The sequence below is a fragment of the Homo sapiens genome, chromosome 18 (genome assembly GCF_000001405.40).
Source record: "Homo sapiens chromosome 18, GRCh38.p14 Primary Assembly".
Taxonomy (NCBI): domain Eukaryota; kingdom Metazoa; phylum Chordata; class Mammalia; order Primates; family Hominidae; genus Homo; species Homo sapiens.
Genome location: NC_000018.10, coordinates 7,150,132 through 7,166,160, shown reverse-complemented (window position 1 = coordinate 7,166,160; position 16,029 = coordinate 7,150,132). Strand labels below are relative to the sequence as shown.

At 44.4% G+C, this 16,029-nt stretch overlaps 1 annotated feature.

The window, feature by feature from the left end:
• Positions 7,449 to 7,949: an enhancer, noted in NCBI's record as "H3K4me1 hESC enhancer chr18:7158211-7158711 (GRCh37/hg19 assembly coordinates)". NCBI's record gives its function as "activates a minimal SCP1, AML or CMV promoter by ChIP-STARR-seq in naive H9 embryonic stem cells {active_cell/tissue: H9 hESC(naive)}" and the evidence as "EXISTENCE:reporter gene assay evidence [ECO:0000049][PMID:30033119]".

Sequence of the window (16,029 nt, the reverse complement as noted above, 5' to 3'; positions counted from 1 at the left end):
CTAGAAGTCCAAGGTCAAGGCATCAGTAGGGCCACGCTCCTGCTGAAACCCATAGGTGCTTCTTCCTTGCCTGTCCCAGCTTCTGGTGTTGCCAGCAACCTTTGGCATTCCTCGGCGTGCAGCCACACCACTCCAACCTCCGCCTGCATTGCCTTGTGGCCCTCCCACCCTGTGTGTCTGGGTCTTTTCTCCTCTCATAGGAGCACCAGTTGTTTGGGATTAAAGGCCCACATACTTCAGTATGACCTCACCTTACCTTAACTAACCACATCTGCAACAGCCCTTTTTCCAAATTACGTCGCATTCTAAGGTATGGAGGCTAGGACTTTATATCTTTTTGAGGGGGACACACTCAACTCTTGACCTGGAAAACCTTTGCTGGCTCCTCATAGCTTAGCGTTCAAGCCTAAGGACCGAGGGGCACTCAAGGTTGCTCAGTCTGTCCTCAGCCCCCTCTCCCTTCTTCCCATTGGTCAATCTACTCACTTTACATCAAGCTTCCTAGCCTCCCAGGCCAGAAGCACACTGTGGTCTTGGTGGGCACTGCCTCCTGTCCCTACACTCCCCACTCCTTCTGCTGAACGGCTCTTCATAGATCATGCTCAATATCACCTCCTTCACTATGCCTTGCTTCAGCCTTCACCTGGAGGAATAAGGAATTCCCTTATGGCATTTTCCTTACAGCCCTGTCACAGCACTTACTGTGTGATGCAGTCACCTAGCTGTGATCCCATTTTATCTCAGCCAATCACCGCCTTTGGGTTTGGGACTCACTGAGTGATAGGGTTGTTAGGATTGGTGGCCGTGTTCCCCCAGCCCCCCAGAACCACTGAACTCCTAATCTGGTTGAAGTAAAATGATGCATTTGATGACTGGCCAAACAATGTGATATCTGAAAGAAGATATTACCTTCCCACATGGTAGGGGGCGTGTGCTTCCAGAGTGCAGGCCAGGTATCTGCAGGTGACGTCTGCCAGGCTGGGCACCCAGGAGGACAAGTGATGGGGGTCACAGGCTCTGGCTGCTTTTGGACAGCTGTAGGGTTGTGAGGAAGAGGGAAGCAGAAGGAAAAGAAGGAGAGGAAGGCAATTCTAGGCAGCTACCACTGAAAAGGAAGAGGAGCTCTTTTGCCCAAAACCTTAGGAGAAGGATCCAAGGTGGGGGACAGGGTTTGGTGGGGCAGCAGGTTCTAAGTGTGCCACATGGAATACAGAATAAGAAACTGCATCTGGAGATAATGTTTCTTGGGGGATGATAGATTATTACCAAAGACAGATGAAGTAGTAGAATCACTCTGGTTCCACTCAGGAAGCCATGCTTGGTTTCTCCTGCTGCATGCATCAGCAGTGCCATCTATTGGGGCTCGGAGTAAACTGTCGTGGTCCAGAACACGTGAAGACTGAATTCTCTTTCACACCCAAACCCACAATTACTGCATTAGTATGTGTTCAGTATGACTTATTGCAGATTAGGATTAAACTTTAATGAGAAGAGACATTATGCATGGCTATAATGCTTTTTCATTTAAAACGATTGGGAGGGGTGAAGGGAGAAAACTGTGTTCTTTAGCTCTGAACAACATTTTATCGTTCAGAAACGAGAATGATGTGCCTCCCAGGCCTGAGGTCAGCCCAGGCACCACCCTGTCCTCGTGGGATGCGGTGTGGCAAGCTCAGAGCAGCTTGTGCACACTCCCATGTTGTAGAGAATCTCTTCACACACATATTCTAAGAGATTATAGGGAGAGAACTTTGAGTTTATGCAATTTCCCAGAACAGTCAAAAGTCCATGTTTTTCTTTTTATTTTGAGTTTATAGTAAATGTTGTCTCTGCCATCCCAGTGGCAGGCTCATTTTTGTTCCTCCCACCTCTCCTTGACTATAGGTTCTCCCCATGGGGGCGGTCCTCAGTCCTTGTCCCTCGAATCCCACGACTTTACCTGCCATGGACATGCTGATGACACATGCGTCTACATCTGCTCCCCCCACACCCCATCTCTCGGCTTACTTCCAAATCCACCTGCCTAAATGCCTATCAGTCATCTCCGTCTAGATGACCTGCAGGCGCCTAAAACTCAACACATCCAAAGTCAGTTCAGTATCCCCCTTAAATCTATCCCTCTTACTTTCTTTTTCTTGGCTGAAGGCATAACGCCCACCAGGTTCCCCAAGCCGGAAATCCTGGAACCGTTCATTCTTGCCTCTTTTGTCCCTTGAACCACAGCTGCTTCATCTGTAAGGCACAGTGCTGGGACTACGCAGAGTGCAATGGTTTACACAGATAATTCAGGAATCAAGAGTCCTTCAAACAGAAATGATAAAATAAAAGGTAACACTTACATAGTATGGCTTATGTGGCAGGCACTGCCCTAATAGTGATTTAACTACCATTCAAATGTATTGGTTCATTTATTCAATCAAATTCTCACTGCAACTCTGAGCTAAGTATGATTATTATTTGTGTTTTATAGATAAGGAAACTGAAGCACAGACCTGTTAAGGAACTTGATTAAAAGTTCATTGGGGCCGGGTGGGGTGGCTCACGCCAATAATCCTAGCACTTGGGAGGCCAAGGCAGGCAGATCACTTGAGGTCAGGAGTTCGAGACCAGCCTGTCCAGCATGGTGAAACCCTGTCTCTACTCAAAACTATAAAAAATTAGCTGAGTGTGGTGGCACGCACCTGTAATCCCAGCTACTCCGGAGGCTGAGGCAGCAGAATCACCTGAAACCAGGAGGCAGAGGTTGCAGTGGGCGAAGATCTTTCCACTGCACTCCAGCCTGGGCGAAAGAGTGAGACTCCATCTCAAAAAAAAAAAAAAAAAAAAAAAAAAAAAGTTCATTGGATGGTTGGGTAAAAATATATCATTGCTGCCTTTTGGGAGCTCATAGTTGTAGAGGAGAATCAGACAGGCAACAAACAACCACCTGTGTGGAAGTGTGGAAGAGCTGTAATGGGGGCATGTGGAAGGCTCCCGAGGACAGGGATATACTCACATATGCCTGAGATGACACAGGGACCTGCACTTTGTTGAGAAGGATGAACATTAGTTTGAGTCTCCCCCTTTCTCAATCCCAGTGTGTGGGATTTAATTCAAGCCTATCACATTTCATACAAGCCTCATTAGGGGTGTGTCATTCATGGTAGGCTCATTACGTTGCAGGAGCAACCCCCAAATCCCAGGGACCTCATACACTAAAGGTTTGTTTTCACTGACACCACACATCAGTGCAGGTCAGCTGGGGCCGAACTCAGTGCCATCTCTCGGGGTCCTGGGCTGATGGAAGCTCTGGCTGGACACAAGTTCACAATCGCTGCAGCAGTGATAAGGGGTTGTGGCGACTCACACATGGCCTCTTAAAACTTCCATCCAGAAGCAACACAAGTTAACTCCTTCCAGGTTTTGTTGGCCAAGAGAGTCGCATGCCCACATGGGACATCAAAAGACATGAGGAATTATAATCCTACCAGGTCCCTGAAGAAGGCAAAGAAGAGTATTTGTGAACTACCCTAAGGGCTGTCATGGGGCTGGAAACTGAAAGTATCTTCTCTGAACATGGTGGATTTGGGACTTTCCTGACTCAGGTGTGGAACCTAAGCAGCCTTGGCAGCAGGAGGAAGGAGGCTGTGCTGGGATGGGCCCACATTCCCATGGTGGCAGGACAGGGAGCGGTGATGCCGAGCATGGAGATAAAAATAACTAAACTTGGCTGGGCGCGGTGGCTCACGCCTGTAATCCCAGCACTTTGGGAGGCAGGCAGATCACGAGGTCAGGAGATTGAGAACATCCTGGCTAACAAGGTGAAACCCCGTCTCTACTAAAAATACAAAAAAAATTAGCTGGGCGTGGTGGCGGGCACCTGTAGTCCCAGCTACTCGAGAGGCTGAGGCAGGAGAATGGCATGAACCTGGGAGGCACAGTTTGCACTGAGCTGAGATCGTGCCACTGCACTCCAGCCTGGGTGACAGAGAGAGACTCCGTCTCAAAATAATAAATAAATAAATAAATAAATAAATAAATAAATAAATAAATAACTAGACTTTCATAGCTCTTACTATGTGCCTGTCACTACCCTAAGTGCTTTACATATATCAACTCACTTGACTCTCAAGCCTAAGGCCCTAATAATTGTAGAGCTATAGAAGAATCTCTCTTCAGAAGAATCCCTCTGGGAGGGTTTCTAGTATCTAACTTTTCTCTTCTTTTCCCTCTAACATCTCACCAGTATGTTGTGCAACATCCTGAACCCAAAGCAAAGTTGATAGACTGAGTAACCACATTCTTTTGTAACAGGGTGTATTAGTTTGGTGGGAGCTGGAGGATATGACCCTTCCTCCAATTTCCATTTGGAATGTGGCTTCAAGAGAGTTAGCCAGTATCCTGTCTCCAGGACAAACATTTGTATCCAGAGATTTGCACAGTGGCTAGAGAGACACCTAGCAAACAATTTGAGCTTATTAATCACTGGGGTTCACACATGAGTAAATTTGTTGAATGAATTTGGGTGAAGCCAGATTTGACAGAAGCCTGATTGTTGAAGGGACAGGGGGACCCCTAGAGAGAATGTGTAGTCAGCAACTGAGCATGAGAGTGGAGCTAGAGAAGCCTGGTTCAGGGTCCTAGGTGCAATGATACTCAAACTGGGCCACCCTGTTCGTATTCTGCTGCTAAAACACAATATACAGACTAGGTAATTTTATTTTTAAAAAGAGATCTGTTTGGCTCACAGAAGCTGGGACGTCCAAGACTGAAAGCTGCATCTGGCAAGGGCCTTCTTGCTGCATCCTAAGATGGCAGAAGGGCATCATGTGGTGAGAGACACTGAGAGAGAGGGAGAAAAAGTGGGCAGAACTCCCTAACTTATGAAAATCCCATTCCTGAGATAATGACATTAATTCCTTCGTGAGAGCAGAGCCCTTATCACCTAATCATCTCTCTAAGGTCCCATTTTTTTTTTTTTTTTTTTTGAGACGGAGTCTCACTCTGTCGCCCAGGCTGGAGTGCAGTGGTGCGATCTCCGCTCACTGCAAGCTCCGCCTCCCGGGTTCACAACATTCTCCTGCCTCAGCCTCCTGAGTAGCTGGGACTACAGGCACCCACCATCACACCCGGCTAAATTTTTTTGTATTTTTTAGTAGAGACGGGGTTTCACCGTGTTAGCCAGGATGGTTTTGATCTCCTGACCTCGTGACGCCCACCTCGGCCTCCCAAAATGCTGGGTTTACAGGCGTGAGCCACTGCCCCCGGCCTTTTTTTTTTTTTTTTTTTTTGAGATGAAGTCTCACTCTGTTGTCCAGGCTGGAGTGCAATGGCACGATCTTGGCTCACTACAACCTCTGCCTTCCAGGTTCAAGTGATTCTCCTGTCTCAGCCTCCTGAGTAGCTGGGATTACAGGCATGAGCCACCACACCCGGCTAATTTTTTGTATTTTGAGTAGAAATAGGGTTTCACCGTGTTGGCCAGGCTAGTCTCGAACTCCTGACCTCAAGTGATCCACCCGCCTCAGCCTCCCAAAGTGCATGGGCCACCACGCCGGGCCCAAAGAACAATATCTTCTATGTTATTTAAATAATGTCAAGACTAGACAGGAACAGCTTCCAGATGTGTGATGATAGCCCAATAAAACTAAAGACCAATCTTACATATGAATATTAAGGCCAAAGGAGCTAAATAAAGAATAAAGAATTATGGTAAATAATTCAGAATGCCATGACCAAGTGGTGGTTATGCCAGAAATGCAAAAAGAGAAAAATTATTAGAAAATACACTAATATATTTCACCATAATAATAGATAAAATGAGAAAAAGCATATGATATCTCTCTAGAGCAGCATGTCCAATAGGAAGATAAAGTGAACCACGTGGGTAATTTTAGATATTCTAGAAGCCACATTTCAAATAAGTAAAAAGCAACAGATAAAACAAATTTTAATGATATTTTATTTAACCCAATATATCTAAAATGTACTGTCCTAGCTCACCGCAATTCAGACACAAAATTTTCATTGGAAAAGCTTGATCTGCATTAAGATTTAGTGAAGTTTATGATACAAAAAAGTAGGTGTATATATCCAAGTTGCAAACATACTTGAGTTTTTCAGTAACTGAATTATCAGTCTTAAAATTTAGTTTAATTAAAATTAAATTAAAAATTCAGTTCCTCAATCACACTAGCCAAATTTCAAGTGTTTGTGAGCCAGCCACAGGAGGTAATGGTTACCTTATTGAACAGCACACTTCTAGATGACGAAAAAGAATTTGATAAAATCAGCATACATCCTTGAGTTTAAAATCTCTGTCTACCTCTCTGGGATTTCAAGCAGTTCTTTTTAGAGGCAACTAATGTTAACTGAGAGAAACCCTGAGGGAGACATCACTTGTATACTCCTTTTTTCCTTTTGAATTTGTATTAAGTTCATCATCTCACATCTCACAAATAAAGGGGGGAGGGGGGAGGGATAGCATTAGGAGAGATACCTAATGTAAATGACGAGTTAATGGGTGCAGCACACCAACATGGCACATGTATACACATGTAACAAACCTGCACGTTGTGCACATGTACCCTAGAACTTAAAGTATAATTTAAATATATATATATATATATATATATATATATATATATATATATATATAAACTAATCACTTTAAAATTTTTTTTGCTGGGTGTAGTGGCTCACACCTGTAATCCCAGCACTTTGGGAGGCTGAAGCAGGCGGATCATGAGGTCAAGAGATCGAGACCATCCTGGCCAACATGGTGAAACCCCATCTGTACTAAAAATACAAAAATTACCTGGGCATAGTGGCGTGTGCCTGTGGTCCCAGCTACTCAGGAGGCTGAGGCAGGAGAATTGCTTGAACCTGGGAGGCAGAGGTTGCAGTGAGCTGAGATTGTGCCACTGCACTCCAGCCTGGTGACAGAGTGAGACTCCCTCTCAAAAAAATAAAAAGAAAAAAAATTTTTTTTCATACAAAATTCTAACAAAACTTTTCATGAGTGTAAATGTCTTGGTAAAGAGTTTACTCTAGTGAGTGCAAATGTCCATGAGGTTTTTTCTGGGGGGGTGATAAAAATGTTTTAACATTATTGTAACAATGGTTGCATAACTAGTAAATTTACTATTAAAAGTCATTGAGTTGTACTCTTAAAAAATAAATGGATTTAATTGTATATAAATTATATCTCAATAAAGCTCTTAACATAAATAAGTTTACTCCATATATAGATTCATGTAGATAAAGCTATAACATATAGATATAGACATAGACACAAATACAGGTACAGACATAGAGAAAGTAACATAGAGATAATAACAAACATAACTTCCTGATTATCTATTATATATATATAATACTTATGGATATCATACTTAATGATAACAACTTTTCTAGACAGGCATTAGGGATCCCGTTTTACAGATTTAAAAAACTGCAGCTCAGAGATGTTGGGTGTAACTGATAGTAAGTGGCAGGGTGGAGATTTGAGCTTGGGCCATTCAAGGCCTGTTCTGGGTCCACTTTATTGCCTCTATTATGAGAATATCCCCCAAATAATCCAGCCTGGGAAGCCAGAGTACCAGAGCTTCCTGGTGTTCTATCCTGGGATGCAAACCATGAAACCATGGCTGATATCTGAAAGGAGGAGAAAGAGGGAAGATGTAGACAGTGGTTCGTGCCTCGGTGTGAGTCAGCGGACAAACATCCCCTCTAGAAACAGTGTCAAGCTCTGAGGAATGCCTGCCCTCCCACTGCATGCGCAGCCCGGGACTCCTGCTCCCTCATGTGCCTCAGTCTCCTGATTTGGGTCTTCCTCTCGCTCCCATGCCACACCCAACGTGTTCATTCCAACCCAGCCTTGTAACGAAGCCCTCCAGCCGCCACTGCTACCTAAAGTCATCCCACAGTTTACAGTTCCAATAGAACTGCAGCGAGCTCAGGACATCGGGAACTACCAGAGCAAGTTCTGCAAAACTGTCACCTTTTAAAGGGTTAAAGGTAACATGTACAGGTGATGACTGCTTTTTGCAAAGTTCAAAAGAACTTGGAGGAAGCAGTATGAAAGCAAGAGCTGGAGGTTTTTTTTGAGAAGATGGTAAAAGGAGTCAATAGCACTGCAAAGCCCTGCTGGGGCCTCCTTCCCCCACCAGCCCACGCCTCCAGAAATCAGAGCCACACTACGCCCCTGGCTGCAGTCTTGATAAAGTTTGCCTTGTTATCTTGAAAGAGAAAGACTTTGGGTTAGTGTGCTTTGCTTTGCTAAGGCTTTTATCAAAAGATAAGGCAAGCCGACTTGTGTGGAGGTTGTAGGGATCACCATTGCTAACACTGATAGGTTCAGGACAGGCCAACTGCTTGCCCTGACTGCCTCCTTTAGCTAGAAATTAGGGAGCAGGCATATGAACAGAGTCCACTGAAGACATTCCTCTTCCTCCTTCTCTCTCCCTCTGCTCAGAAATGAGCAGGCTCTACAATAACACTCTCAGAAGATGGAGAAATTGTCCCAGGTTGGGCCCAGAATTGGCTCTGTGAAGCAAACTAGGAATCCCCAGGTCTATTTCTTTGCCCCTTTGGAACACTTGGGAGGCCCCTGAAAGAGCACCATGTTAGTGCCCTCGAGCCATCTACCACCCTTCTGCCATTCGCTTTACCTTGTTCTGCTACCTGTCTTCATGACTTGCTCCCTTGCAAAGTATCTATTTAGTATTCAGATGTGAGTTAATTTAATTAAATCCCAGGAAGTAATGGAGATGGAGTTCTTCAATGGCTTCTTTTCTGGCACAAGACTAAATGCCCCAAACACTCAGGAAAGCACAGTAGTTAAAGTGGTGTCTCTCTTGCTTACAGTTTAATCGTTTCTTTTTTTCCTTCCCTAACATTAAATAGTACTTTGATTAAAGGTCACTCTTACACCTTAATAAATAAAAATGCTTACATTTCCCAAGTATGTTTATATTTCATTTCACATCACCAAGTAATCAAGTCCTTTTTTCATGTGACACACCCTAACTTTCTAATTAAATGACTGACATTTTATCCAAAACTTAGCCTTGAGAACGGGGAGAAGAAACAATGTATTCATCAATGTGTTGGTTCTTTTTGCTTGACACACAATCACTAAAAAGTCAGTGATACATAACTCAAACTTCCAATTTGTCTGTCCTGGAAACCATAAACTCTACACTCCAGCGGATAGCTCGACTGCATTCTTGTATTTAATGTTAATGTTAATCTGTTTCTCTTTCTTATAACAGAAAACTTGAAATTTGAGTAATTTATAAAGAAGACGAATTCATGTCTTACAGTTATGGAGGCTGAGAAGTCCAAGGTGAAGGGCCCACATCTGGTGGAGACTGTCTGCAGAGTCCCAAGGTGGGACAGGGCAGTCACCGCTTAAAACCCCACCTCTCTGCCGGGCGCAGTGGCACACGCCTGTAATCCCAGCTACTCGGGAGGCTGAGGCAGGAGAATCGCTTGAACCAGGGAGGCAGAGGTTGCAGTGAGCTGAGATTGCACCACTGAACTCCAGCCTGGTGACAGAGCAAGACTCCATAAAAAAAAAAAAACCAAAAAACAAAAAAACCCACCTCACAATAACGGGACTTTGGGAGCCCGGGTGTGGTGGCTCATGCCTGTAATCCCAACACTTTGGGAGGCTGAGGAGACTGGATCACCTGAGGTCAGGAGTTCAAGACCAGCCTGACCAAAATAGTGAAACCCCATCTCTACTAAAAATACAAAAATTAGCTAGGCATGGTGGTGGGCACCTGTAATTCCAGCTACTTGGGAGGCTGAGGCAGGAGAATCGCTTGAACCCAGGAGGCGGAGGTTGCAGTGAACTGAGATTGTGCCATTGCACTCCAGCCTGGGCGACAAGAGCGAAACTCCGTTTCAAAACAAAAAAAAAAAAGAAAGAAAAAAAGAAAAGAAAAGTTACTGTCTTGAGCCGAAGGACTGAAGAGTGGGTGTTGAGAGGAGATGGAACGGGGTTAGAGGAAAACCCTTGGACAAGTCCTAAATTTAGGGATGGGGTAATGTCATAGAGCTGTGGCAGAGACTGATATTTGCCTACCTGGCAATTATTCGTCTTGAAATTATTGCTTAGGTAAGGAACTTTGATTTTATTTGGTGTGAATAAATCCCCCACCTAACAAATTACATTGCCCAGCTTCCCTCGATGCCAGGACAGGGCACGTTCTGGCCAAAGAGATGTAAGTAAAAACGTGGAACTTGGAAGTAAATTAACTTAACAGAAGCTGAATCTGGAAGTCACACCTTTTTCGTTATTTTCCTGCTTGTTACCCTGAGTGCAGACATGTTGGTTGAAGCTCCAGCAATCGTACTGGGCCCTGAGGTGATATTCAGGTGAAGCCTCAAAGCGAGAATGATGGAGCAGAAAGAATGAAACACCCTGGGTTCCCGAAGATTTTCTGAAAGTCCTTATCAGTCCTGGACTAGCTACCTCTGGAGCTCTTCTGTGTGAGAAAACAAACACTTGTGTTTTTAAGCCATGATTGTATTGAGTTTTCTTTTATATGCAGTTGAATTTTATATGAACTGATATAAAACTGAACAGAGTCAATGGCAAAGAAAAGAGAGGCCAGAAGGTGAGCTTGTCGAGTGCAAATAGGGCCAGGGAATTAGAGCACGCTGAGGTTAAAAGACACACAATAAGGAGGAAGGTATTTTTGACACATGTGACTGAATGGCTATCAAGGTGATGTCCTCAAATCCAGCTCCTTTTAAAATCTTTTATTCCTTTAAGATCAAATTGAAATGCATGGGTCCCCACCCCATCGGCCTCACCTACCGTGGGAAGTCGGTGCCTGCTGCCATCTCCAGAGTGTCTCCTGGAGGAGGCCACGGTCTGGTCCCTGCTCACTTCTTGTTCAGAATCCCTGTCCTGAGGACCTCTCAGGGGCCAGGCAGCAACTTGCCACTTTCCTCTTCTTCACCTCCTCACCCTGGACACCACCTCCTGCCTCATCCCACAGAGCTTCTCAAACACAAGGCGATTTCAGCAGAGTGAGGTTTTGAAGTGCAACAGAACACACCTCTGTTATACAATTTCTCCACCTACAACTACAAAGAAATCACATTTGTGTGTGTGTGCGTGTGTGTGTGTGTGTGTGTGTGTGTGTGTGTGTATATGTGTAGTAGAGATGGGGTTTCACCATGCTGGCCAGGCTGGTCTCGAACTCCTGACCTCCAGTGATCTGTCTGCTTCAGCCTCCCAAAGTGCTGGGATCACAGGCGTGAGGCACTGCACCTGGACAAGAAATCACAATCTATGGCAGTTCCCTCATGGTCCTACCTCCCGCCGTTTCACTTGAACCCCTGCCAAGACCCTGCCCTCTCCTCTCTCAATTCTCCCATCCAGTCCAGGCATCTCACAACCTCATCTTCCCAGCTTCTCTATTAGGGAAAAATTTAAGGGTTGCATCATTGCTTTAAAAAATATTCTTGTGAGCACAGAAATTTGGTTTTCTTTGTTGTAACCCAGCCTACGGAGATTACCTGCGGGAGAACTCATCACAGCCAAAGGCTCGTATGGTGTTTTTACAAAACAAAAGGGACCTGAATCCCAGATCTCCATCCTGGCAACAGGAAAGAACAGGCTAAAGCTTTGAAATGAAGGTTTCTTTTTATTTATTTATTTATTTATTTATTTATTTTTTATTATTATACTTTAAGTTTTAGGGTACATGTGCACATTGTGCAGGTTAGTTACATATGTATACATGCGCCATGCTGGTGCGCTGCACCCACTAACTCGTCTTCTAGCATTAGGTATATCTCCCAATGCTATCCCTCCCCCCTCCCCCCACCCCACAACAGTCCCCAGAGTGTGATGTTCCCCTTCCTGTGTCCATGTGCTCTCATTGTTCAATTCCCACCTATGAGTGAGAATATGCAGTGTTTGGTTTTTTGTTCTTGCGATAGTTTACTGAGAATGATGATTTCCAATTTCATCCATGTCCCTACAGAGGACGTGAACTCATCCTTTTTTATGGCTGCATAGTATTCCATGGTGTATATGTGCCACATTTTCTTAATCCAGTCTATCATTGTTGGACATTTGGGTTGGTTCCAAGTCTTTGCTATTGTGAATAATGCCGCAATAAACATACGTGTGCATGTGTCTTTATAGCAGCATGATTTATAGTCCTTTGGGTATATACCCAGTAATGGGATGGCTGGGTCAAATGGTATTTCTAGTTCTAGATCCTTGAGGAATCGCCACACTGACTTCCACAATGGTTGAACTAGTTTACAGTCCCACCAACAGTGAAATGAAGGTTACTTTCAACTCGGTCAGATCTCAGACTTGGGCAGTTTCACTCTCCCTCTAAGTGGAAGGAGTCAGTGGAACATTGCTGTTTTCATATGGCCAGAGCAGCGGCCCAGGACTCATGATTCCTATTTCTCTTCCTGACTTACATGACAAAGTGTTAATATCTCTTAGACAATAAACCCTTGCATATTAATAGGTAATTAATATCCTCATAGAAAAGTAGCCATACAAGTTATTCAAAAAAGAAAACATACATATGGGCAATTAATTTATTAATTATTATTTTTATTTATTTATTTTTGAGACGGAGTTTCACTCTTGTTGCCCAGGCTGGAGTGCAATGGCACGATCTTTGTTCTGCAACCTCCGCCTGCAACCTCCGCCTCTCGGGTTCAAGTGATTCTCCTGCCTCAGCCTCCCGAGTAGCTGGGATTACAGGCGTGCACCACCACATCCGGCTAATTTTTTGTATTTTTAGTAGAAACAGGGTTTCACCATGATGGCCAGGCTGCTCTCGAACTCCTGACCTCAGATGATCCACCCGCCTCGGCCTCCCAAAGTGCTGGGACTACAGGCATAAGCCACCGTGCCCGGCCCTATTATTATTTTGAGAGGGAGTTTCATTCTTGTTGCCCAAGCTGGAGTGCAATGGCATGATCTCAGCTCACTGCAACCTCTGCCTCCTGGGTTCAAGCAATTCTCCTGCCTCAGCCTCCCCAGTACCTGGGATTACAGGCACATGTCACCCTGACTATCTAATTTTTTGTATTTTTAGTAGAGACGGGATTTCACTATGTTGGCCAGGCTGGTCTCCAATGCCTGACCTCAGGTGATCCACCTGCCTCGGCCTCCCAAAATGCTGGGATTACAGGCGCGAGCCACCGCGCCTGGCCAAATTTATTACTTAACATCTCTTAGCATTATGCAATCAAAAATGCAAATGTAATAACTATGTATACTTTTTATTATAATGTTAGCAAAGGCAACACTTTATTATAATGTTGACAATATGTCAGCATGGGTGAGAGTGGAGAGGAAGTAGCTATTCTCATACACTGGTAGTGCACATCCTTATTTTGGCTTGTATCCATCTGCCTCCCAGGCCTTTGGGGGCTTGCAAAAGCTCCAGATACCACAAGAGTAGCTTTGCTTCTTAGCACTGCAGATCATCTTGGCTTCCCTTCTGAAGGCCAGCCTCTGGCATGTGGATCTAGCTTCCCTAGCAGCTGCCCTCTACCTGCAAGGAAAGAGAAGTTAGCACCCCATGACCAATGGGAGACAACAGCTGGTAATTTCTCCGCCTCATTTTTTCCAACAGACTGTTCCAAGGCACAGTGGTTTCCTATGACATTTCCAGAAACACTCTCCTTGCAAAGCAACTGAGTTTTTGCAAGAAGCTATGACCAGCTGTGTAAAACATCTCTTTAATTTGCTCTCTTTCCTTCTTATTTCCTTTTTTCCCTCTTTCTAGCTCTCTCAAGACAGCAAACCCCCAATAGCCTATTCACATGTAAGCTATGCATCAGACTCAGTTTTCTAAGACACTAGAAAGATGGTAAAGTAGTATAACTTTTTTGGAGGACAGTTTGGCAAAACACATCAAATTGTAAAAGAATGTATGTACTTTTTATTGTGGTAAAATAAATAACATAAAATCTACCATTGTAACTGCTTTAAGTGTATAGTGCAGTGGCATTAAGTACATTCACACCGTTGTGCAGTCATCATCACCATCCAGAACTTTTTCATGATTGCAAACTGAAACTCTGTACCCATTAAACAGCAGCGCCCCTTTCTTCCTTCCCTCTAGCCCCTGGTAAGCACCAGTCTACTTCCTGTCTGTAGGAATCTGACCACTCTAGGTGCCTCAGATAAGTGAAATGACAGAGTATTTGTCCTGCTGTGTCTGGCTTACTTCACTTGGCATTCTGTCTTTAAAGTTCATCCATGTTGTACCATAACATGTGTCAGAATTCCCTTCCTCCTTCATAAGTCTGAAGAATATTCGATTGTGTATATATATATGTGTGTGTGTGTGTGTGCACACTACAATTTGTTTTTGTTTTTGTTTCTGAGATGGAGTCTCCCTCTTGTTGGCCAGGCTGGAGTGCAATGGCACGATATCCGCTCACCGCAACCTCTGCCTCCCGGGTTCAAGCAATTATCCTGCCTCAGCCTCCGAGTAGCTGGGATTACAGGCATGCACCACCACGCCTGGCTAATTTATGTATTTTTAGTAGAGATGGGGTTTCTCCATGTTGGTCAGGCTGGTCTCGAACTCCCGACCTCAGGTGATCTGCCCGCCTCCTCGGCCTCCCAAAGTGCTCGGATTACAGGCATGAGCCACTGTGCCCAGGCAACATGTATATACTTTGTAACACAGGAATCTCACTTCTAGAAAGTTAACCTGAGGAAATGAAAGGCATCTGCAGTGCTTCTGCCTAGTTAACATTTTAATATTCAATCTTCATTGATATTTGTGTTTCTCTGTTGATATATTTACACAATATACATTTTTGTATATGTACATACAAAAAGCTCAATACATTTTAAATGAAAGATACATGTAAAAGTCTTGAGTGACATTCCAGATATAACAGGTAGAGCACTAATGTCTTGTGAAGACATTTTCCGAGTCAAGCTGAGTGTCACCACCAGGTGACACACGACACAACATGTCACACCTCACATGTTGTTGGGGCTAAAAGAAGCGTCAGAACAAAACTAATCACACAGCGGTCATATTCTTGAATTATCTTCAGAACATAATGTTTTAAGCATTTAATCTTATCATATGTGTAACAGAGAATCTGACTGGTCTTTGTCCTCAGTTCCTAGGAGGTAACCTCTACACTCTTGGAATTTCCAGAGTGATTGGCATTTATTTGTTATTCATGGCAGGCCATGGGACTACACCTGACAGTTGATGCTAACCAGGTGACTTGTGCTGGGCCTCTCCATACTTTATACTGACAAGACGGCTCAGTATGGGGAATGGCCACAGCAGAAAGACCAACCATGTGATTATAGGACTGGGGCTTTGAGTCATGTAATATCAGTGTGACCTCTGAAGAAAGGCAGGGACTGGAGATGGAGTCACATGGGCAACGATTCAATAAGAAACACCATTAAAACTCTGGACACTGAAGCCCAGGTTAGCTTCCCTGGTTAAGAGTACTCTGTCCAGGGCCGGGCACAGGGCCTGTAATCCCAGCATTTTGGGAGGTCGAGGCAGGCGGGTCACTGGCAATCAGGAGTTTAAGACCAGTTTGGCCAACATGGTGAAACCCCATCTCTACTAAAAATACAAAAATTAGCTGGGTGTGGTGCATGCCTGTAGTCCTAGCTACTCAGGAGGCTGAGGTGGGAGGATCACTTGAACTGGGAGGTGGAGGTTGCAGTGAGCCGAGATCATGCCACTTCACTCCAGCCTGGGTGACAGAGCCAGACCCTGTCTCAAAAAATAAATTAAAAAAAAAAAATTGTGCCATCGATATACTGGATTGTTGGGGAAAAGGGGAGATGCATCCCTGAGGATGCCAGGAGGTTTGCATTTGGAATCCTCCCAGATCTCACCCTGTGATTCTCTCTCTCTGGCTTGTTTTGATTTGCATCTTTTTGTTATAATAAAACTGCAGTTGTAAATATAGAGCTCTCCTGAGTGCTATGAACCCTTTTAGCAAATTATCAAACCTTAGGGAGTCCATGAGGACCCCCAAATTTGCAGCCAGCTG